Below are 25,020 nucleotides of genomic sequence, written 5' to 3'. Positions count from 1 at the left end.
ATGTATTGGGGACATCTGGTATCCCCTAGGGGATATTTGTGTCTCATTCTGCTACATACTTAGAAGGAAACCAAGATATCTGTTTCAAGTTGTAGCATATCTGGCTGAACATGTAAAGGAGTTAAGATGATCCTAGAGCATGGGCCACTGTGTCTGTCATATGTCATACAGTGCACCTTACCAGCCCCAGCACAGAGCAATCTCCCAAGAAGCTCCACTTCCAGACAGAGCCATTGGTTAGACTTCCCTCCCTCTCCTTCCTTCCTTCCTTCCTGTAATATACACTAAGGCTATGTATTAGTCTGTTCTCACACTGCTCTTAGGTTGGTGCAAAAGTAATTGCGGGTTTTGCCATTGATGTAAAGAATTACCTGAGACTGAGTAATTTTTGAAGAAAAGAGGTTTAATTGAATCACAGTTCCATAGGCTATACAGGAGGCATGACAGGGGGGACCTCAGGAAATGTACAATCATGGTGGAAGGGTGAAGGGGAAGCAAGCACATCTTCATGTGGCAGCAGGAGAGAGGGAGCTAAGGGGAAAGTACTACACACCTTTAAACAACCATATCTCATGAGAACTCATTCACTATCACGAGAACACCAAAGGGGAGGTCCACCCCCATGATTCAATCACCCCCACCAGGCTCCTCCTCTAACACGTGGAGATTACAATTTGACATGAGATTTCAGTGGGGACACAGATCCAAACATACCAAGCCATTTAAACATAGTTAAGATATTATATTTCTGACCCAAAGATCTTATAGTTTCTGAAAGGATGAAACATAAGCATATAACTCTTCTCCCAGAGAGATTTTTAAAAAACTTTTGTACAGACATTGCATGAGTTTTTGTTAAATGCCTTGACAGGGAGTGCTATGGAAGCTCAGGCCAGGAGGTCTGTACTCTGTGGATAAGTTGCCAAGAAGGTTTCTTGGAAAAGATGGGGCTTGAGATAGGCCTTGGCGGCCCCATTCAGTTTGCCTTGGTGGAGAGAAAACAGTGATCCTCTACTGTAGTGATGCTGCAGTGTAGGGCTGTGAATGTAGGCATGCTTAAGCCAGGTCTTGTGAGCACATTAGACAGAATATTTCAGTAGGCTAATATGAGAGATGATATTGAAAAGAAATAAGGGGCAGAGTGCAGAGGGCTTTAAATACCAAACCTAAGTTTTTATTTGGGTTAAGTTACTTAATCTCTGATTTTCTGTTTTCTACTTTTGAAGTGGGAGGGTTTGATTAGTAGATGGTCTTTAAGCAAATTTTAGGTCTGACGTGAAAAAGATACAGATTTTGTGAATCTATATCTTTTATCCTAAAGTGATGGTGAGCTACTGAGGCTAGTTAGGTGGAATAATGTAGTGACATTAATTGCCAGCATTTATTGAATATTTACTATGTGCCAGACAGTGTTGTAAGCACTGTGAATTGATTAGCTCATTTAAATTTTACAACAAGCCTATGAAGTCAATACTATTACCCGTAATTTACAGATAAGAGCTAATGTAGTGACCCAAATCACTAGGGTAGTAAGTGGTAGAACCTAAGTATTTTCAATCTGGACCTTTAAAATAATTTTCCTGACAGCAATTTAGACAGTATTTTGGTATAATTTGTATAATACTTAGTAGTGAGAAATTCTGTGTGGGGAATTTGGACTTGGTACTTGCAGCTTTTCAGTGTGAGGTGATGAGATCTTAAAAGCAATTAGAAGAAAAGGGGTTAGTTTGAGAGAAATTGCTAAAGAAACAGCAGTAGGACTTGAATGATGTCATATGGGGGAAAGTTATAAGACATGTATAAAATAGCTCTCTAGCCTGATTTGGGAGAATCAGCACATCATGAACAGAAATAGCGAAGTCAGGAGGGCAAGCCAAATAGGTGAACATTCAGTTTGGTTTAGATATATTAAGGATGAAGAGAGAGTAAGACAAGTTATTCTCAATAGAGAACAGAGCCGTTCAGGTTATAGTTTAAGGGAAATTTTCTTTTAACCTATATTTATTGAGGGTTTACTATTTGCAGGGTATCATGCTAAAACACAGATATGTGTAAAGGCATAATGATTAAAGTTTGGAAACCACTAGGAAAATCTAACATGGTTGACATTAACATAGAAAGTAAAAAATTTCTAAGTATATTGAAATAAAGAACATTGCCTCTTCAAAGCTTTTGATGTAGGTTGTGCATATTAACTGCATATGTCTGCACAAATTTATATGCATATCACAAATACACTCATGCACATATATACAAAAATGTGGTTATTTCACATAGTACAAGGAGGAAGAAGGAATTACATTAAACTCTAGAATGAGGAATTTAGATAAAAGAGAATTCCCTGACAAGAAAATTTTTTTACATTATAATTAGGCTGCCAGTGGAGATATGACAACAGTTTTTCTTGGGGGTAGTTCAAGTTACTGAGGAGATCCTGAATAAAAAATACCCTTCTTGACTGCCTAGCTTCTGAACAAGTTGAGAAATAGAAAAACTAAAGATGTAGGTAAAAAGAAAATATCTTTTACAGAAAAGGCTGAAGTGGAGAATGAGGCTTCCACTTTGACAGGCAAGTGCACTGGCTACTAATACTCCACCCTGTGCCTGTCAGGCCTCCCCAATCCAGAGCAGCGCTGCCCCTGGCTGAGTGGAAGAGAACATGTACCCCTTATCAGACTCATTTCCAGGAAGCAGAATGAGGAGGAGGTGCTGAGGTTTGCAAATTTCTTATGCTTCCCAGACTTCCCAACCACATAATTCACTCTTCTCCACCAGGGAAGGGTGAGTGAAGGGATAGAGAGCAGCCTGGAGTGCTCAGAGAAAAACCTTTCCTTCCAGAGAGCAGGAGCAGGTTAAAGGCTCTCTACCACTAACTTGAGAAAAAATAATCCCATCTACTTGAGATTTCTGAACTGTAAGAAAGAGCAGGGATTAGGGACCCTAACTTCTGGGTCTTTTTAGTTTTTGACCTGTATAGTTATAATTCTATGAATATCCAAAGAGATGGCAGAGTGGGGGCTAATTTCCTGCTTCCTGCTCTTAAGAATGCAGGGCTCTGTGTATGTCTTACAGGAGGTCTGTTTTAATGATTAGATCCATTTCTTGTTTTTGGTAGCTTAAAAGGTAAGACCTGGATACTAAGAAATGTTTGGTTTGTAGGGCAGCAGCAACTGTGAGAAATATACACAAGCTTTCCAAGCAAAATTCTGGCTTTAGAGGTAGATGACTTGTACAGTTTGCCGTCATTAATGGCTTGGTGATAAAATGACTATTTAGCCAAAAGAAGATGCATGCTAATTTCACATACCCCTTCCGACTCAAACTGCTCTCATTCATTCACGCATTTCTTCATTTCTTCATTCATGGATATTTATTGAGTAACTTCAAGTTCTTTTTTAGGCAGTGGGGAAATGAGGTGAAGAGAACAGATAAAATCTTCTGCCTTCATGAAGTATATATGCTGGTAGATATAAGAATATATAAATAAACACATAAGTAAAATTTATAGGATGTCAGATGGTGACAGGATTTATGGCGAAAGGTAAGACACAGAAGGGGGACAGAGGGTAAAATGGTTGCTAGTGGTCAGGAAAGACTTCACTGAGAGGGTCACATTTAAGCAAAAGTCTGAAGCAATTGAGAGAGTGAGCCAGGCAGCTGAGAGAAAGATCCTTTGGCAGAGGAATCAGCAAGTACAAAATCTTTGAGATGTGAGAATCCCCAGCTTCAAGCCCTGGGACCTTATGAGCCATTTTACTTTGAGTGGGATGGGTTTGAGGAGAAGAGTGATAAGATTTGACACTTTAATTATTCTGGCTCTATTTTGAGGATAATCCATTAAGGGGAAGAGCAGAAGCAAGGAGAACAGTTAAGAAGCACATTCGAAATTGTGCCTGTGGAACTTACGGCCCACAAAAGCCTTCACATACCTATTACTGTGGCCCCTCAGCCACCTCAGCTAACAGTTTTATAGTTTCTAACTTTAAAGTTGAACCACAACATTATTTTAATGAGTGGCTAACTTACACTTAAATTAGTAATAGCTGATATTTATTGAATCTTCTACATGATTTTATGTAAAACTCTCACCAAACCTATGAAGTTGTAACTATTACTAACCTCCAGTTAACAGTTGAGGAAACTGAGCCTAAGAGAAAATAAAGAACTTGCTGAAGATCACAAGTGGACTCAACTTAGTGCTTTCTGACTTTGCAGTTCATTCAATAACCATAGGCTTTCCTGCTTTGTGAAAGTAGTTGGGCCTGTAAAATGTGAAAATTATGAATGCAGTAAATTAACGTTGGATATAATTTGGTTTTACTTCTGTGATTGTAATCTGAGATTAAAATTCTTTTGATTGCTTTGAGCTTCTGCCCCTCCTTCCAGTTTCTTCCTCCAAAACCTAGAATGTAAGAGCCTTTTACAGAAATTTCTGATGCTACACTAGAGGAAAAATTGGTTGACTGGCTGCAGGTAGGTAGAACATTGTAATTCTTGTGGTAGTTCTCTTTTATAAATCAGATCTTAAATTAGACTTTGACAGCAAGATGCTCCATCTATTCAGAAGTGAACGAGAGCATAGGAGCATGGTCTTCAGAGTCAAAATGATCAGAACAGGAATTTTCCTTTGGCTCTTTGCTTATATGTGTCAAGTCTTCTAGGTCTGCTTTCTCGTTTATAGAATAGGGGTAATAGGATTTACCTACTGTGATTGTTGTGAGTATTAGAGATGATATATTCTCAAACACAAATCATAGAGCTTGGAGCTTTTTCTGCTAATAAATGGCAGGTGACTGGGTAGTTCCATTAACTACCATCCAGGAGATGGTAATCCAAAGGGTTGCCAATCGTATCTTTTTCCTCATTACCTTAATTGCCAACAGAAAAATGACTCATTCAAACATTTAAGAAATGTTTATTATGTATACTTTTTAGGAATGATTTATTATTTAGCATTAGAGAAAATAAAGCTTTATAGAAACATACCATTCATATTTTGAATAAAAATTTAGAACATAATACCTGACAGTATAAAAATGGAACATACATCTAGGATGTATGGCTTACTGTACGTATGAGGCTGTGAGTATCCTCTTGGGTATGGAGAAGGCTCCCTGCGTTTTTCTAAATGTTCTTGTTCTCTAGTCACTTAATCCATGCATCAGTACAATATACTGATTTAGACTTTGGTTTTGTGAATTCCCTTCAGTGGAGATGGGAAATCCATACATTGAAATTAAGCACTGCTTCCTCTTTCCCTTGAAATGGTCAGCCGATGGTTAGAGAAAAAGCTATAACTGAGATTACTGGGACAGCCAGACACTCATGGGCCTGGGTAATGTGTCTTGTAAGTCAGTGTGTGTAGCAGCTTAGACAAGGCGAGTGTTCTCTGGTTACCGGTATTACTAACTTAATAAGCATCAAACAAATTCAACTGGCAAGACACCCTGACACATACAAAATCTTGTATGATGGTATTGGGAGTACCAAGTTGAATGGGGAGTTCTTTGTCTTTAAGGACTTTGTAGTTAATTTGGGCTATGTTTTGTCAGTACACATACAAGGGCTTGATTCATCTCCTTACTTTGGAAACTTTCCCCTCTGTCACTCTGCACCCGTGACACTTGTGCTCATTCTCTTATATTTTGAGTTTGTTTTTCTCTCTAAACCAGAGTTTATAAAAGTATTCACCATGGAGGAAGACCAAATCTTCCTCACAACCTTCTTGGAAGACCAAGTCTGTGTTTATACTGGTGCCTAGTCTAGTTCAGCAGGGACTGCACTGTCTGTCCAGTTTTGGAATCAGGCTTCACTTGACTCATACTACAGTCCTCACTGCTTCTTTGCCTAGTAAATATTTACAAGTGTTGCTTGCTGTATTCATTTAGTAAAATGGGATAGTTCATTTAAATACATTGGTAATTTTAAGAGGCATAATTACAGCAAACATGCACAGAAAGAATTAAAATGTTGCACAAGTAAATGCCTTTATTTGTCTTCTGGCATTTCACTTATTGCCTGAGGTTTTTAAAAAGCAAGAAAATAATGAAAATAGTGATTCTACAAGGATACTTTATGAGCATAAGACGTAGGTTCATTTACAGATCTCATGCTCTAAATACATTATTGGATGACAAAACTCGTGATCTCCATAGGTGAGCAGTTTTGTGAATCATACCATTTTTTAGGGCACTTTAACACACTATAGGATTAGCGTAAGGCTAGAATTGTGAAAGTGGGAAACTTTTTAGTTCATGTTTTTAGATTTCCCTTTCTATGCCTTCTTCTTCTTCTTCTTCTTCTTCTTCTTCTTCTTCCTCTTCCTCTTCCTCTTCCTCTTCCTCTTCCTCTTCCTCTTCTTCTTCTTCTTCTTCTTCTTCTTCTTCTTCTTCTTCTTCCTCTTCCTCTTCTTCTTCTTCTTCTTCTTCTTCTTCTTTTTTTTTTTTTTACCCTTGTTGCCCTGCTGCTTGTTTCCTTCTCTAGTATCCATTGTCCTGTGGTCTTAAAATCATTCTTATAATAGTTCCTTTAAAGTGTTCTATTTCCCAAGGGTGTTTGCATTTTGATAGACAAAATACTTATATTTGGCTAAGCCAGGGGTTTAAGTGCTAATTGTGAAATTCAGTTTAACATGTAAGTGTCTGCCCATATTGTAAGGTGGGTCCCAAATACTCTTTCATATTCTAATAGATATCTGTCCCACTTAAGGAATAAGGTGCAAAATGAGAATGCTGTTCCCTCTTGACTAACCAGTACCTGCATATTTGATTTAAAGATTATTATGTCTTCTTTACCCATTCTTCTAATTTTCTAAAAATGGAGGTTTATGGAGGAAAGCATGGTAGGATAGAATGAGTGTATGGGCTTAGGAGTACAACTTGGATTTATATTCAGGCTTTGCAGTTGTTTGACCTTGGACAAAGGACCTCCTACCCCTGAATCTCAGTTTTCTCACCTGTGAAGTATGGTTGTTAGGGTTGTTATGGTGGAAAAAATGTGTATAAATTACAGCATTGTAAGCTACAGTGTATACATTACAGACTCATGTAATATAGTTATTGTAATTAGTCTAAATTCCAGGATTTCTACAGGGAAAAAATGAAAACAATCAGAATTCTTTTTTCTACATAATAACCTTGTTAAAAGTTTTTAGCAGATGTCAGTTATGCCAATAATAAATTAATTAAGGGCATGCCTTGATTTTAAGCAAGCCATTTATAGTTTATGGACACATTATATTCGTGTTTGCAAATGTATTAATGAGATGTAAATATTTACAATGTAATTTTAATACTATTTTAAGTAAAAAATGATTCATTGAACACAGGGTTACTTAAATGCATTTGAGAAATGATTTTTGTTCTCAAAATTTAATATTTATGAGCTGATTCAGGAATGTCTATATTATGCACATTGAAGTATGGTCTTGTGAGGTGGGCAGCTTTTGTCTGTGTTATGTTCTCCTGTGTTCTCTTATTGTACAGGGTTTGACAGTTCTGTTTTTCACCCCACAGATTTACCAATAAAGAGATATAGAGAGTATGAGCTGGTGACTCCAGTCAGCACAAATCTAGAAGGACGCTATCTCTCCCATACTCTTTCTGCGAGTCACAAAAAGAGGTCAGCGAGGGACGTGTCTTCCAACCCTGAGCAGTTGTTCTTTAACATCACGGCATTTGGAAAAGATTTTCATCTGCGACTAAAGCCCAACACTCAACTAGTAGCTCCTGGGGCTGTTGTGGAGTGGCATGAGACATCTCTGGTGCCTGGGAATATAACCGATCCCATTAACAACCATCAACCAGGAAGTGCTACGTATAGAATCCGGAGAACAGAGCCTTTGCAGACTAACTGTGCTTATGTTGGTGACATCGTGGACATTCCAGGAACCTCTGTTGCCATCAGCAACTGTGATGGTCTGGTAAGACTCCTTCTGTTTTGTGCGTATGTTTGCAGGTGCTGGGAGTGCAGCCATGGCTTCTGCATAGTTTGGAAGGTGGAGGTGGAAAGGAGGCTTCATTGTTATGTTACATTTTAAGTTCAGAAAAAGACACTAGAAAGCATTTTGCTGTCAAAGATATGCATTTTGGCTTAATTTGTGACAATTTTGTTTCTTGGAATAATGCGAAGACGACATTATTCCAAGAAACAAAAGTCAAATATTTTAGCATTTTTTTTTGTTAATGTTTTTCCTTGTATTACATTGGAAGATTTTATTTCCTTATTTTGTTCAAAGTATTCTGAAAACTTTCCAAAGAAGCATAGATTCCTTCAAAATGACCGTATTTTACTCCTTATGTGGAAACTTTGGATATCCTCGTAAAGAAAGTATTTTGAAAGTGTTCTTTAGCTTCCTCACAGAATTCTAATGTGGGAAATGAGCAGATTCTCTGTCAGAATTTGTCCAAATAACATTACTTTATGAATGCAAGATGCAGTACTTTCTGTGCGGTGGCTTCAATTCTTCATTTTCAAATTTAATACCCATATGTTGCTTTTCAGTTTTGTGGTTGAGGGTTAAGTGTGCTACGTAGACTCAGGTTTGTGACAAGACAAATACCAATAGTCAGGCTAAGTGTTTAGGAACTTTTATAGCAATTTTGACAGTTAATGTGTCTGTTGGGTCTAATAATAACAGTTTTAAAAATGTGTTGGTGTTTTCTGTCTTTTTTCATTTTATTATTCTAGTAATTAGTTTTTATTTTATCAAATTGTATTTATTTTATATGTACTAAAATACTAGTCTGGTACTGACTGGGGAGAAAAACTGTCTCTTCACCATAGATAGTTTGAGAAACAGGCAGTGACACTTAGCTGATTTCGCCCATTCTGGACATCAGAAATGTGACTGAAATCATCATATTACCTATCCAGGTAACTGTATGAGATGATCGCATGAAAGGCAATTTAACATAGGCTTTATCAAAGAGGACAGAAGAATGCCTTGAGTGACGTATGTAGCTATGGCCTGGAATATGATCTAGACATAGATATTACTCAGTGAGTTTCTGAAATCAACAGGGTTTCCTGTACAAAGGAATTGACAATGATTCCTACCCAGTGTGAACAATCAAGAACAATGTCTTTTTCTGTCTAGCATTGACCCTTTCCTGTTCTCAGTCAATATTATCATGTATGAGTGACTGTTAATCCTTTACCAATTACAGCTTTATCCTTGCTCTAGTCTGCCCTAATTATAGGTAAGAATTATTGAGATATTCAATCATAGAATCGTCCCCACTTTCTGATAGCATCCAATCTAGAAAAATGCTCTACTTCTTTAGACTTTTCTCAAAATTACCCAGCCAAAGCCCAAATGCTGTTAATAATAGGTTCTTTTCAACAGTCTCTTACTGAGATGCTCATGGTTCCCTCTGCTGTACGTTCTCCATCTCAGCAACGTGTAACAAACCCAGCTTGTTAACTAAAGACGTGCTTCTGGTGGTCTTTGGCAAGGGGGTGTTGATGTGCTTTTCCTCCCTACTTCTACACCTTTGAAATGAAAGTCTGGTGGTCAGGAGTCATGACAATGGCAGGCATTTTACACACTTCTTGGGAAGACACTTCTGGATGAGAATCCCAGATGAAATAGATTTCTCCCACAGAGTCCTGGCATTTACTCTCTAATACCATAAAATCTCCCCTGTGAGTAGTGGCAGCTCACAATCATATTTTGTGGTCTACAATTTGCCAAAATAAAGGTTTTTTTGGTTAGTAGGCTTTATGTGATGTGTTTCATAATCTAAAGAAATTGGATTTTTTTCAACTTGCTAGAACAGCATCTCCTTGCTAATTCCTCTGGACTGTCGTCAGAGGGAACTGGTTGTGAGTGGAAGAACTGACTAGCTAATGGCTCTACTGGGTTACCTAGCTCAGTGATTTCCCTGTGGGCTGATTTTAAGATCAAGGGGGTTTATCTAGGACAGAGGTTTTCAACTTTTTTTTTTTTAACATTTGTAATTCTTCGTTCAGATGAAATCACTAGAGGTTATCTAATAAAATAGAGTGTAAATTGGATAAACTCAGGAAAGGTCTGGTCAAAACACTCTCCCTCCTGACTTGTCCTCAGTTCATACCACTGTTGAGCTCCCTGAGGCATCTAACAGAGATCTTTACTGGTAGGGTAGGGGTTCTTGGAAGCTTGAGGTTAACAATTTGGGAACCATAAAGAGAGCCTCTCTTCTAAAATATCTGATAGTCACATCTGGTTAATATCAGAGACATTTTACCTTTGTTAGATTTTGAGCAGGACTAAATGAAGTCTTTGTGGGCAGCTGCAAAGTTACAATGAAAACAGCCCTAGTTACCTGCCTTAAGACTTTTGCTCTGTGATTTGATCCCTTCAAAAACATATTCTTGCCATGCCTATTTTAGTAAGTCTAGCTGCAGAGGCACTTTTTAAAAAGTCCACTTAAAAAATATGAGCCAATATGCCTATGATTGAGAACATTTGACTGGTGATTGTGAGCTGTGATACAGCTTAATCTGGTAAATGAAATGTTTGATACTAAAAATAGGCATAAGTTTTTAGCTATTAACAGTGGATTTAGAAAAGAAAGTTTTTGAGGGCTGATTTCGACATGTTGACATTTGCATATCTGCTGTAATGAGAGAACTCGATGTCTGAAGACCTGTTGCCTTTCACCTATTCCTCCTGTGGAAGATGTCCACAGAAGGTGTTGTGTGTGTTATTGATGAGACAGAAGAGATATCTGTGCCTTCATGGATTACATGCTGATTTGAGACTTTAGAAGGTCTGAAGAATAAAGGACCGAAGCAATGTTTCACCTCCAGGTACCTACACCAGGCTACACCAGGACTGGAAGACGCTTAAAACTCTTATATCCTTTAATTTCCAGGGAGTAGGAACAAAGCAACAGACATTGGCCCCTTTCAGAATGAAGAATGATGAGAGTCCTCCAGTTTAATTAGTCTGGAAGAACTACTGTTGACTTCATTGCTCCCTTCCTGAGGTTTGGTCAAGCAGTGGCCCCTTGAGAGCTGACAGAATGTACCTAGTGTTGTATGCTTGCCTATGCCAGGTCTGAGCTATTGGATACATCATCCACCTTTCCTCCTTCTTCAAATAGGCAGGCAGTTTGTGCTTATTTAGGATGAAGAGGGAAGATTTGGCATAGTCCTTGATCATTTTCACATCTCATGTCTAATTTTCATATGGCTAGAATCATACATATGTCAAGCCTTTTTCATTTTTTAAAAATCTGTATTTCTCTTTTGTGACTAATTATTTTATACAAAGAATATCCAAGGATGTGATCTTGGAATAAAGTAGAAAACAAACAAACAAACAAAAAAAAGAGTTTTCAAATTTAAATAATATTTTTAATAATAGTTATTTGTAGTTAAATTAAACCATTCATGTTTATTTATTATTATAAGTACCACCTGGTCACAGTTTGCTTTTTATATACATCAATTTGATTATAGTTTTTCCCAAGTATCTCTTCTTTGATATAATAATTTTTAAAAATTAAATTTAAAGATGGTTAAAAATTAGGGAAAATTGCACATTTCTTTTTGGATAGACCTGGACAAACAGAAAATAATAGAGGCATGGGAAGTACTTTTTCTTTCTATTGTTGGCCTGAAAAGTAATGCTTTCTATTCTTTTTAATGCCATGAAAACCATGATGTCATTATAACTAGTGTAAGTTTTTGAAGATAATAAAGAAATGCTTTAAGAACTGTGAAAATATTGCTTGAGCACATCTGAAATATTTTCTTCTGGTTAAATTATAATTAAAACAAGAACAAAAGCACAGCACAGAATTGATATGATGCCTTTGTAGTAATCATGCCCTGAGGTCACAGCCTCCTTGAAAACTAAACTCAGCCTCAAGGTTTGACTTAATAATCTTCAATTCTAGGAATCCTGATCCAAGTTAAAGCATTTTGAAGCACTAGTATTAAGTTGTTGCACTGATTGCTGTGGTAAGTACTGAGATTGGTCAAGTGTAACTCTTGTCTTCAAAGAGTACTGGAAATAAATTAAGTTGTATGATTTAACACTATTAGAAATATAGAGAGATTGGTCATAAATACAATTTAAAAGGGAGACTTTACTGTTGTCACTCTATAACAATAAAATTGCAAAGAAAAAAAGGGGTTGAAAAATCAATTTGGCTTTTTATTAAGGTAGGCTGAATTCTCTGCCTCTAAAACAAGACATTTTAAACACTTTGTTTTCAAAACAGTTGATTAATTTTTGAGCAATACTAGACTACTACTAAATGTATCAAGAGATTATTATTAGTTTTATGGTGCTTTGTCATCCTAAATAGGTGTCAGTAAACAGATTCAGATCTTCCATAATTTCTGAAAATTCTCATGTATTGATTGAAGAAACAGTAATATATAATTGAACTGAGATCTAACTCCAGATTTAGTAATACTGAAAAATAAGACATATATATATATTAGCCTGACGAGTTTTGAGATGCACTATCTAGATTGTAATAGCCTACTTTTTCTTCCAATATTTTTTTGTGATAAAATACACATAACATAAAATGTACCGTCTTAAGCATGTTTTAAGTATACAGTTCAGTGGTGTTAAGTACATTCATATGGTTGTGCAACCATCACTACCATCCATCTCCAGAATTCTTTTCATTTTGCAAAACTGAAATGCTATACCTATTAAAAAATTACTTCCCATTTCTACCGCCCTATAGCCTCTGACAATCACAATTCTACTGTCTCTACAATTTTGACTTCTCTAAATGCTTCATATAAGTGGAATCATATAGTATTTTTCATTTTTGGGACTAGTTTATTGCATTTAGTATAACGTCCTTAAATTTCATCCATTTTGAAGCATATGTCAGAACTTCCTTACTTTGTAAGGCTGTATAATATCCCATTGTATGTGTGTGTCACATTTTATTTATTCATTTATCTGTTGTTAGACACTTGGATTGCTTCCACATTTTAGATACTGTGAATAATGCTGCCATTAACATGAGTGTACACATATCTTTTCAAGACTGTGTGTTCAGTTCACTTGAATTTATCCCCTGAAGTGACACTGCTGGATCATATGGTCATTCTATTTTTAATTTTTGGAAAAAAATTGCCATACTGTTCCCCATGGTAGCTGTATTAGTTCATCTTTACACTGCTGATAAAGATATACCTGAGACTGGGTAATGTACAAAAGAGAGAGGTTTATGTCTTATTCCTCTTAGTGCCTTAAACTAGAACCTGTTCAGACATGTGATAAGTTAGTACAAGTTTATTTTGATGCAAAATAATTTAGAAATTTATCCATATTTTTTCATAATACACATATTCCATGAACATTTTGAAGTTTCCTCTTAATACTTGCTTATTTATACTGCAAATCCTATTTTGAAATTGAGAAAGTATTTTAATGATGATATGCTTTCTCACACATATATCTTTCCGAGAGAAAAAGACACCATAAAAAGCAAATGTGTGTATCATTACCAGCAGCAGCAGAAGAAGAAAAGAAAGAACAACAAAATCTGTATGTTTCCAAACAAGTAAAGTTTTTAAGTGAATTAAAAAACTAGAAATAAGGCTGTTGAGACCTTGGTTCTACTGGATGTTGTGTTTCTAATTCTGGTCTCTTCAGCTCCAGCTGATATTTTGGAGTGTCTGAAGCACTTTTTGTCTATCCCAATCAGAACTTTATTATGTAGAACAGAAATGAGAAAAGGAAGTCATGGGTCATACTTTGGAGTTTGCCTCCCAAGTGTCTCTTTCCTCATTTATTTATACATGTAGTCACAGTCATTAGGAAAATCAGAAAAACTATAAAAAGAAGTTCCTAATATCTCAAATTCTGGTCCAGAATGGTATACAGGTAGAACAGAACACAATTTATTGTTAAACTATGGGTTTCTGTTAATAATGGATTGACAACGATAACAATAAAATAATGATAACAGGGGCCGGGCGCAGTGGCTCATGCCTGTAATCCCAGCACTTTGGGAGGCTGAGGCGGGCGGATCACAAGGTCAGGAGATCGAGACCATCCTGGCTAACGTGGTGAAACCCTATCTCTACTATAAATACAAAAAATTAGCCGGGCGTGGTGGTGGGCGCCTGTAGTCCCAGCGACTCGGGAGGCTGAGATAGGAGAATGGCATAAACCTGGGAGATGGAGCTTGCAGTGAGCTGAGATTGCACCACTGCTCTCCAGCCTAGGCGACAGAGCAAGACTCCGTCTCAAAACAAAGAAAACAAAACAAATAATGATAACAATAGTTAACATTTGTTTAGTACTTCTTAGGATGAGACATGTATTTTACATGTATTAGTTTGTTCATTTCCACAACAACCTAGTAAATTAGGTGCAATAATTATCCATGTTTAAGGAAAGTTTAACCATAAAATTTACCTATTTTACTAGAATACTTTCTAATTAAAAGTTAATCATTTTAACTATGATTAAATTTGAGTCATTATTCTAAATATGAATACATACACAGAGTAAATAACATTTAGGGTGTATATTAGTCCATTTTAATGCTGCTATGAAGAAATAACTAAAACTGGGTTAATTTATAAAGAAAAAGAAAACTAATGGACTCACAGTTCCACATGGCTAGGGAGGCCTCACAATCGTGGTGGAAGGCAAAGGAGGAACAAAGGCACATCTTACATAGTGGCAGGCAAGAGAGCATGTGCAGGGGAACTGCCCTTTGTAAAACCATCAGATCTCATGAGACATATTCACTATCACAAAAACAGCATGGGAAAAACGCACCCCCATGATTCAATTACCTCTCACTGAGTACCTCCCATGACATGTGAGGATTAGGGGAGCTACAAATCAAAATGAGATTTGGGTGGGGACACAGCCAAACCATATCATTCCACCCTGGCCTCCGCCAAATCTCATGTCCTCACATTTCAAAACCAATCATGCCTTCCCAACAGTTCCCCAAAGTCTTAACTTATTTCAGCATGGGCTCAAAAGTCCGCAGTCCAAAGTCTCATCTGAGACAGGGCAAGTCCCTTCCACCTATGAGCCTGTAAAATCAAAGCAAGTTAGTTACTTCCTACATACAATGTGGGTACAGGCATTGGGTAAATACACCCATTCCAAGTGGGAGAAACTGGCCAAAACAAAGGGGCTACAGGGCCCATGCAAGTTCGAAATCCAGCAGGGCAGTCAAATTTTAAAGCTCCAAAATGATCTCCTTTGACTCCAGGTCTCACATCTGGGTCATGCTGATGTAAGAGGTGGGTTCCCATGGTCTTGGGCAGCTCCATCCCCTGTGGCTCTGCAGGGTACAGCCTTCCTCCTAGCTGCTATCATGGGCTGATGTTGAGTGTCTGCAGCTTTTCCAGGCATGTGGTGCAAGCTGTTGGTGGATATATCATTCTGGGGTCTGGAGGATGGTGGCCCTCTTCTCACAGCTCCACTAGGTGGTACTCCAGTAGGGACTCTGTGTGGGGGCTCCCACCTGACATTTCCCTTCTGCACTGCCCTAGCAGAGATTCTCCATGAGAGTGCTGCTCCTGCAGCAAACTTCTGCCTGGACATCCAGGCATTTCCATACATCCTCTGAAATCTATTTGGAGGTTCTCAAACGTCAGTACTTGACTTCTGTGCACCTGCAGTCTCAACACCAAGTGGAATCTGCCAAGGCTTGGGACTTGCACCCTCTGAAGTCATGGGCCATGCTTGGCCCCTTTTAGTCATGGCTGGAGCAGCTGGGATGCAGGGCATGAGTCTCTAGACTGCACACAGCATGACAACGCTGGGCCTGGCCCATGAAATCATGTTTTCCTCCTAGACCTCCGGGTGTGTGATGGTAGGGGCTGCTGTGAAGACCTCTGAGATGCCCTGGAGACATTTTCCCCATAGTCTTGGGGATTAACATTTGGCTCCTTGTTATTTATGCAAATTTCTGCAGCGAGCTTGAATTTCTTCTCAGAAAATGACATTTTCTTTCCTATTGCATTGTCAGGCTGCAAATTTTCCAAACTTCTATGCTCTGCTTACCTTATAAAACTGAATGCGATTAACAACATCCAAGTCGCCTCTTGAATGCTTTGCTGCTTAGAAATTTCTTCTAGCAGATACCCTAAATCATCTCTCTCAAGTTCAAAGTTCCACAAAACTCTAAGGCAGGGGCAAAATGCTGCCAGTCTCTTTGCTGAAACATAACAAGAGTCACCTTTGCCCCAGTTCCCAACAAGTTCCTCATCTCCATCTGAGACCACCTCAGCTTGGATTTCATTGTCCATATCATTATCAGCATTTTGGTCAAAACCATTCAACAAGTCTCTAGGAAGTTGCAAACATTCTCACATTTTCCTGTTGTCTTCTGAGCCCTTCAAACTGTCCCACCCTCTGCCTGCTACCCAGTTCCAAAGTTGCTTTCACATTTTTGGGTATCTTTTCAGCAGCACCTCATTCTACTGGTACCAATTTACTGTGTTAGTCCATTTTCACGCTGCTGATACAGATGTATCTGAGACTGGGTAATTTACAAAAGAAAGAGGTTTAATTGGACTCACAGTTCCATGTGGCTGGGGAAGCCTCACAATCATGGCGGAAGGCAAGGAGGAGCAAGTCACATCTTAAGTGGATGGCAGCAAAGAGAGAGCTTATGCAGGCAAACTCCCATTGTTTAAAACCATCAGATCTTGTGAGACTAATTCACTATCAGGAGAACAGCACAGGAAAGACCCACCCCCATAATTCAGTCACCTCCCACCAGGTTCCTCCCATGACATATGGGAATTGTAGGAATTACAGTTCAAGATGAGATTTTGGTGGGGACACAGCCAGACCATATAAGTAGCTATACCATTTTACATTCCCATCAACAGTGCACAGAGTTTGATTTTTTTCCACATTCTTGTGAACACTTGTTATTTTCTGTTTTTTTTTTTTTTTTTTTTTTCTGATAGTAGCCATCCTAAAGGTTGGGAGGTGGGTGGTGTTTTATTATAGTTTTGAGATGCATTTCCCTAATGGTTAGTGAAGTTGAACATCTCTTCGTGTGCCTGTTGGCCACTTGTATATTTTCTTTGGAGAAATGTCTACTGAAGTCATTTGCTCATTTTTGAATCTGGTGGTTGTTTTTTGTTGAGTTTTAGGAGTTTATATATTCTGGATATTAATCTCTTATCAGATATATGGTTTGCAAGTGTTCTCTTCCATTCTGTGTGTTGCCTTTTTACTCTGTTAATAGCGTCTTTTGATACACAAAAATCTTTTTATTTTCATGAAGTCCAATTTATTTTTTCTTTTGTTTCCTGTGCCTTTGATGTGAAATCTATTGCAAAATTCAATGTTGTGAAGCTTTTGCCCTATATATATATTTTTTAACAAGAGTTTTTAGTTTTATGTCTTATATTTAGGTCTTTGATCCATTTTGTATTAATTTTTGTATATGGTGTTAGGTAAGGATCCAGCTTTATGCTTTGGGCATGTGGATATCAAGTTTTCCAAGCTCCATTTGTTGAAAAGACTGTCTTTTCTCAATTGAATGGTCTTGGCACCCCTTTCTGAAATCATTTGACCATATATGCAACAATTTATTTCTGGACTTTCTATTCTATTCCACTGCTGCATATGTTTATCTTTAGGCTAATATAACTTTATTTTGATTACTGTAGCTTTGTAGTAAGTTTTGTTATCAGGAAGTGTGAGTCCTCCAGCTTTATGCTTCTTTTTTTCTCAGGTTTGTTTTGGTGATTTGGGTTCCCTTGAGATACCATATGAATTTAAGATGGGTTTTTCAACTTCTGCCAAAAAAAAGTCTTTGGCATTTATTGCAGAAGGTGTAGTGGTAATGAACTCCTTCAGCCTGTATTTATCTAGAAATGTCTTAACTTCTCCCTCAATTTTGAAGGGATTTTTTGCCATACCTTGGTGTACCTTTTTTTTTTCTCTTGTTATTCTGAATATATCAGTCCACTGCCTCTGGAATCTAAAAGTTTCTGATGAGAAATCTGCTGATTGTCTTGAGGATCCCTTGTAATGTGATGAATCACTTCTCTCTTCCTTCTTTAAAAATTCTCTTTGTCTTTGTCTTTCAGCAATTTAATTACAATGTATTTTGGTATGAGTCTCTTTGAATTCATGCTACTTGAAGTTTATTGAGCTTCTTAGATGTTTATACTTATGTCTTTCATCAAATTTGGCAATTTTCCATCTATTATTTCTTTAGATGTTTTCTCTGCTTCTTCCTTTTTCTCTGCTGTTTCTGGATCTCCCACAATATCTATGTTGGTCTGCTTAATGGTGTTCCACAGGTCCTTTAGCCTCTGTTCACTTTTCTTCAATCTTTTTTCTTTCTCAGACTTGGTATTTCCGTGGTCCTCCCTTCAAGTTTACTAATTTTTCTGCCTGCTCAAATCTGCCTTTGAATTCCTCTAGTGAATTTTCCAGTACAGTTAGTTTCCTTTTCAACTCCAGACTTTCTTTTTGGTTTCTTTTTAGAATTTATGTCTTTCTTGATATTTTCATTTCTTTACCTATATCTCTTTCTTGACTTTCTCCATGTGTGTCTTAATTCTTTAAACATCTTTAAGACACTTGTTTTAAAGTATTTGTCTGGTAGATCTGCTAATACTGCCACTAGGTCTTGTTTAGGAACCGTATCTATTGTTTTTTTCTTTTCCTTTGAATGGACCATACTTTTCTGTTCCTTTGTGCTCCTTGTGATATTTGGTTTTAAATTGAGCTTCTGAACCTAATAGTGTTGTATCTCTGGAAATCAGATTTCCTCCCATTCCTCAGTGCTTGCTGTTTGCTTTGTTGTTGTTGTTGTTGTTTATTTGTTTGTAGTTGTTGTAGGCTGCCTCTTTTCTGAAGATTAGGCTGAACTGTAAACTTAAGGTCTTCTCAGGTCTTTTCTGAGCCTGTGCCTTTCCCTGGGCATGCACAATGACTTTCAAATTTTTCTTGTATATGTAGTTGCTTTTGACTATCCTAGTATTCAATCTCTGGTTCACAAAAGGAGAAAAAGAGAAAAATGAAAAAAAAAGCTATCTCTATAAATTCCCTAAAAATCATTTCAGTCAGATGAGGAGGGATTTGCAACAATGGAGGGAGTAACAAAAAAGGCTATCACTCTTTGTCTAAATCTCCATGATCAGAAGCATCAGTGATCAGGGCATGGATCCCAGATATTTGGAGAACAAGGCCCTTTTTGCCCACATTTGCTCCTGCAGGTTTTATGCAAGCTGCTCTAGGAATATGTGCACAGCTGCCTGCCACAGGGCTGAGGGTTGGGGTACTGGTAACTGCTACTGTGCTAAGAGCTGAAGTTGACTAAAATTAACTGTAATTTATTATTTGAGTCTTCCCCTGGAAGTGGTAAGCCTTCAGTAGACTACAGAGTTCCAAAATCCTATCATCAGACAGATTCTGCCAGTATGATTGTTGCCTTAGTGGGGAAATTCTTGGTGCTTCCTATTCTATCACCTTTTTACAATATTACCTGTTACATTTTAATTTTATAAAATGTTTGGAATATATTAAATTTGGGTTTTTTTAGTGGGAATAATCAATAAGCATGAATGAAAACGAATAGTGGCCAAATTATTCTGAGTTATGATACTTTGGGAGAGTTCAGTTTTTTAAAAAAGTAAGTACCGTTGATGACAGAAGTCAAGCCTTTTGTAAAATGGTCAAAGGAAAGGACTCATGTTGGGATTGATCACAGTGTTGTTTTAGAATTAGACAAACTTGGACTCTAGTTCCAGTTCTATCACTTACCAGCCTCATGACCTTGAGCAAGTTATTTAACCTTGCTAAGGTCTCTTTCCTTCAGTAAAATGGGGAAGTAATGCTTATCAGATTAGGGCATTACCAAGAGCATTAATGCATCTTCCACACAGCCTGGCCCTTAGGAAATCAATGTTACTGAAATCCTCTTCTTTTTCCATTTACAATGATTTGTTTTAGCATTTTGTGATTAATAATAATGATGGTTAAGTTTGCAAAATAAAATACGCTGCAGTAACCCAATTCGGCCTGTGAGCCAGTTTGTGGAAAATATAGTCTTCCACAAAATTAGAACCTTGGTGAAAATCCTTGTAATTTTAAGATAACCTTTTCTACGTCATGTATGGCTCCTTTAACATCATCTTCCCTGAGGGTTACTCTAATCTCTGCTCTCCTGAAGAGTTCTAAAGATAAAAAACCCATTACTTTCCATCTTATTTATATATAACTCTACCATATAGAAAGTTATTGTTCCACTTATTTGAATCTTCGGAGTTGAGACAAAAATATAATAACCATGATAGACTTCTTATTGCTGTTGTCATTACGATAATGAGGTTTTACACAATTGACCACCATGTAGTGCACTATGTCACAAATAACCATATAGAAAATGACCTCTGCTGTAGGAAACAGTTCCTTCAGTGGTGTGATGTAGTTCAAACCCTAGCTGGAATAGAATTAACCTGGCGTAAGTCACAATTTTAACATTTGTCTCAGGCTTTTTGTTTTGGTCAAATATTTTAAGTTAGGAATCTCAGGATGAGATGTATTTGGGATAGAAGGTAAAGGGTTTTATGGCATCAGATAGTTTATACTGTTGTTCAGAATCTTCCCAACCTCATTCTTTTGCTGTCTTTTTTTTTAAGTGATGGTGTTTAATATGCTACCTTATATCTTTTTTTGTGGTTTCTGGTCTAGAGTCTTTGATAAAAACAAGCATCCAGCAAGGAGTGGGTGTTTTCTGCCCCTCTGTGGAGGCAATTGAAAGGAATGAAGAAAGAAGTGGCATAGGGGTGTCTAGCTCCAATTACCAGAAAATGTAGTTTTTAGACTTGAATAGCATTATCAAAGTAGGTCTTTGGGGTTCTGACTAGCTGATAAAACTTTCCAACCTCAATTTAAAATGTAGGAGACTTCTGGAAGGTCTACTTCTGTCTGGTGATGTCTCTAAAAGTAGAAGATATTTATAGATTGAGAGGACTGTACTGTTAGATGCTGGGGTGTCTCATTAACCTAATGGGATCCAGTCTTAAAGTCAACTTCTGAGCTGATCGTACGAAGCCTGAGAGAAAATGAAGAACAGTAGTTAATGAGAGAATTTACAAATGTTAGCAACCCAAACACAATGGGAAACATTTCATTTAGCATTATCAGTGAAACAGGATGCCTTTAACATAGTGATTGGACTCTTGGGGTAATACTTCCTTTGGGCTTGCAGGATATTTGACTTTGCTTAGGGTGTACCAATATTTTACACTTTACTTCCTGGCTTCTTACAGTCCTTTATTTTGCATACCTGGCTCTGAGAATGGTATTAACTGGCTGCCTGGACAAGAAAGCAGACCAAGCATAGTGATGTGGGTCCAGATAAAATAAGTCACCATGAGATCTCTATTTGGTCAGCTGCACCTCACTTCCAGCCTTGGCTTCAATTGTGGTGTCACACCTAGACTTAGCATATAAAAATGAGAGAAGACTTTGTGGCATATTGGTTCTAGACACTAATATTGAGCCATATTGGTTCACTGTGAGCCATATTTTTCTAGACTCTTTGAGCCATTTTGGTCCTAGACCCTAACCATTGATCTAAAATTTTCAGAAAGGGATCTCTTTTTATATGTTATGCTTGGAAAAAAAATTAGGAACATGTTCATCTATGAGAATGTTTGAAATATGGGCTGTATTCATGGCACTATGTTGCTACTTTTTTCCATACTTAAAAACCAGGAGTTTGAATTAGGTCAGTGATTCTTTTTGTTCCATTTGTGGAACGTTATTTAAAATGGTTTGTAAACCAAACTGTATAGTGATCACTTTTTCTACTTTTTAATAAAATAAAAACATACAAAATTTCTGGTCAAAGTTCACTATGAGTACAAATTACTCTTCCTCTACACTGGTTGATTCCCTTTTCCAATAAAACAACTTATTCATAGACCTGTACCATTTTGTCCAGTCTTATGAAACAATGACATTCATTCTCAGATCTTCATTATTGCTTCCACTGGTCCCTTAAGATCTAGGGAGCTAGAATTAGGAAATCATTAACTATTAAGTTTTTGAGGTTCCTTCTGGGACTGTGATGTTCCTTTTTTCTTTTTTTTTTTTGAGACGGAGTCTCGCTCTGTCGCCCATGCTGGAGTGCAGTGGCGCAATCTCAGCTCACTGCAAACTCCGCCACCCGGGTTCACGCCATTCTCCTGCCTCAGCCTCCTGAGTAGCTTGGACTGCAGGCACCCGCCACCACGCCCGGCTAATTTTTTGTATTTTTAGTAGAGACGGGTTTTCACCGTGTTAGCCAGGATGGTCTCGATCTCTCGACCTCGCGATCCACCCACCTTGGCCTCCCAAACTGCTGGGATTACAGGCGTGAGCCCCTGCACCCAGCCGGGGACTGTGATGTTCTATGACAATATCTAAATTTGTCTTCTAATTTGTTTTTATGGACAGTGTCCTTCTGGCCGAGGAAGAGATCAAAGCACCAAATTAACTATTACTCATTAATTATGGCCTGCAAAAGAAATTGCATGTATAAATGTTTACTATTTCAAATGCTGAGATATAGTTACTTTATAATAGCACTTTTTCTACTTTTTAAAATGTATTTTTTAATCCTCTAATTCTGAATAAGCTCTGTGTACTTGAAGGCTTCAGAGGACCTAACTGCTATTACAGCTTTGGAAGATGTTTCAGCTTGTCTCCTAATGAGATGTGGAAATAACCAGTGTAAAGAAAAAAGTATATATACATGTGTGCATATATGTGCATATACATATATATGTATATATACATATGTGCATATACATATATATGTATATATACATATGTGCATATGTGTATACATATAAATGTACTGCGCTGCCAGTCACATCAAAAGTATAGCACCTGCAATTATGTACTTGATGATAATAAATGACTTTGTTACTAGTTTATTTACTGTTCTACACTTTTTAATCATTACTTTAGAGTGTACTTCTGTTATTAGAAAAAAAAAGCTGCTGTAAAACAGCCTCAGGCAGTTCCTTCAGGAGGTGTTCCAGAAGAAGGCATTGTTATAACAGGAGATGACAGCTCCGTGCATGTTATTGCCTCTGAAGACCTTCCAGTGGGATAAGATGTGAAATTGGAAGACAGTTTTATTGATGAATCTGACTCTGTGTAGGCCTAAGGTAATGTGTATGTTCGTGTCTTCATTTTTAACAAAAAAGTTTAAAAACCAAAAACAATTTTTTTAATTTAAAATTAGACAAGCCTTATAGAATAGGTATATAAAGAAAATATATTTTTATACAGATGTACAATGTGTTTGTGTTTTAAGCTAAGTATAATTATAAAATAATCATTTTTTAAAATTATAAGTTTATAAAGTAACAAGTTACAGTCAGCTAAGGTTAATTTATTATTGGAGAAAGAAAAATATTTTTAAAATAAATTTAGTGTAGCCTAAGTGTGGTGCTTACACAGGAGCCTACAATAATGTCTTAGACCTTTACTTTTACTTACCACTCACTGACTTGCCCAGAACAACTTCCAGTCCTGCAAGCTCCATATAGTGCCCTATATATGTGTACCATTTTAAATCTTTTATACCGTATTTTTACCATTTCTTTTCTATGTTCACATATGTTTAGATACACAAATACTTCCTATGTTATGACAGTTTCCTATAATATTCAGTGTAGTAGCATGCTGTGTAGGTTTGCAGCCTGGGAGCAATATGTTGTGCCATACAGCCTAGGTATGTAGTAGGTATGTAGTAGGATACACTATGTACGGTTGTGTAAGTATACCATATCATGTTCACGTAGTGATGAAATCACCTAATGCATTTCTCAGAACATATCCTAGTCATTAAGCAACACATGACTGTATTATAATTAACTAGTGTAAAGATAGATATATATAAAGTTATACGTGTGTGTGTGTGTGTGTGTGTGTGTGTGCATATTAAATTATTAAGAGCAGAAGGAACTGTCCCTTAGATGGACTGTTAGGGAAGCACCAAGTTTCTTCAAGATAGGAGTGTTGTGCCAGCTCTATTGATGATTTCCATTTCCCTGGAAAGTCCTCCTGTGTTGCATTTGAGGAATATGCAATAGGGCTGAAAATCATTGTTTTCCCTAAGGGGCTTCTGACCTTAGTGGGCATCAGGATCTCCTGGAGGGTTTATTAAAACAGACTTCTGGGTTCCACCTCAGAGTTTCTGATTTAGTAGGTCTGCAGATGGGACTGAAAGTTTGCATTTCTGTCATGCTCTCAGTTACTGACAGACCCTAAAACTCTACTGTCTGTTTCTTGTATGTGTGCAATGGTACTGGATACTGGTTTTTTCTAGCTGACTTCCTTTTTCTGGTAGGAAATTTCAACTTTTTTTTTTTTTTGTCTGTAATACTGTCTGGCCCTTTCCCAATGCTCAGTCATAATCCCTGCCAGTTTGACTCAGTACCTGTCAGTCCCAGATTGGATTAACTTTGCACAACTTTAACTCCCTCTTTTAGTCCCCTTTCTTGGAAGCTATGTGTTCTTTGTAGGCACACATGAGTGCCATCTCCCCAGGCTATGTTCTGGCAGCATACAGAAACTGTGTGAACTTAGACAAGCCACCTAATGTGTCTGATCCTTGGTTTCCTCATTTGGTTCAGGGAAAGATTGCCTGGTATAATGCGGACCTTTGAAGTGGATATTGGTGCTGTTATTTGGTGGCCAGTAGTCATTAAGAAATGCTTGTGAGTTTCTAAAGCCATTTTGCCTCCATGAACTGGGTAGAACTGTGCCACAAGGCAACAGAGAAAGCCTAAGATCTTCAGTTGTCCTGCGCTTCAACAGCCTGAGGACCATCACTCTTCTTGGGCTCCCATGAGCCAGCCACGTACCCTGTTCCTACACCAGCTCTGTGCTTTACCCAACCCTCTCCTGCATGTCTACTCTCAACCTAGAGACCTCATCTGATTCTGTGGCTTCAAATACCCAGTGATGATTTGTATGTGTCTGGGTTTGGCTCTGACTTCTCTTCTGAGCTCCAGAATCATATGTATATTCTGCGGCCAATTCAGCAT

General features: G+C 37.6%; 1 protein-coding gene across 3 annotated transcripts in view; it reads left to right on the top strand.

Moving 5' to 3' along the window:
* The window catches only part of ADAMTS3 (ADAM metallopeptidase with thrombospondin type 1 motif 3), a 288,253-nt gene that overhangs the window by 12,823 nt on the left and 250,410 nt on the right, over positions 1-25,020 (top strand). For all 3 annotated transcript variants that reach the window (NM_014243.3, XM_011532422.4, XM_011532421.2), the window contains exon 3: positions 7,515-7,921. In NM_014243.3, the coding sequence (NP_055058.2) occupies positions 7,515-7,921 (407 nt within the window). The remainder of the gene's footprint in view (positions 1-7,514; positions 7,922-25,020) is intronic.

Source organism: Homo sapiens, chromosome 4 (genome assembly GCF_000001405.40).
Source record: "Homo sapiens chromosome 4, GRCh38.p14 Primary Assembly".
NCBI lineage: Eukaryota > Metazoa > Chordata > Mammalia > Primates > Hominidae > Homo > Homo sapiens.
This window is presented reverse-complemented; position numbering and strand designations above follow the sequence as displayed.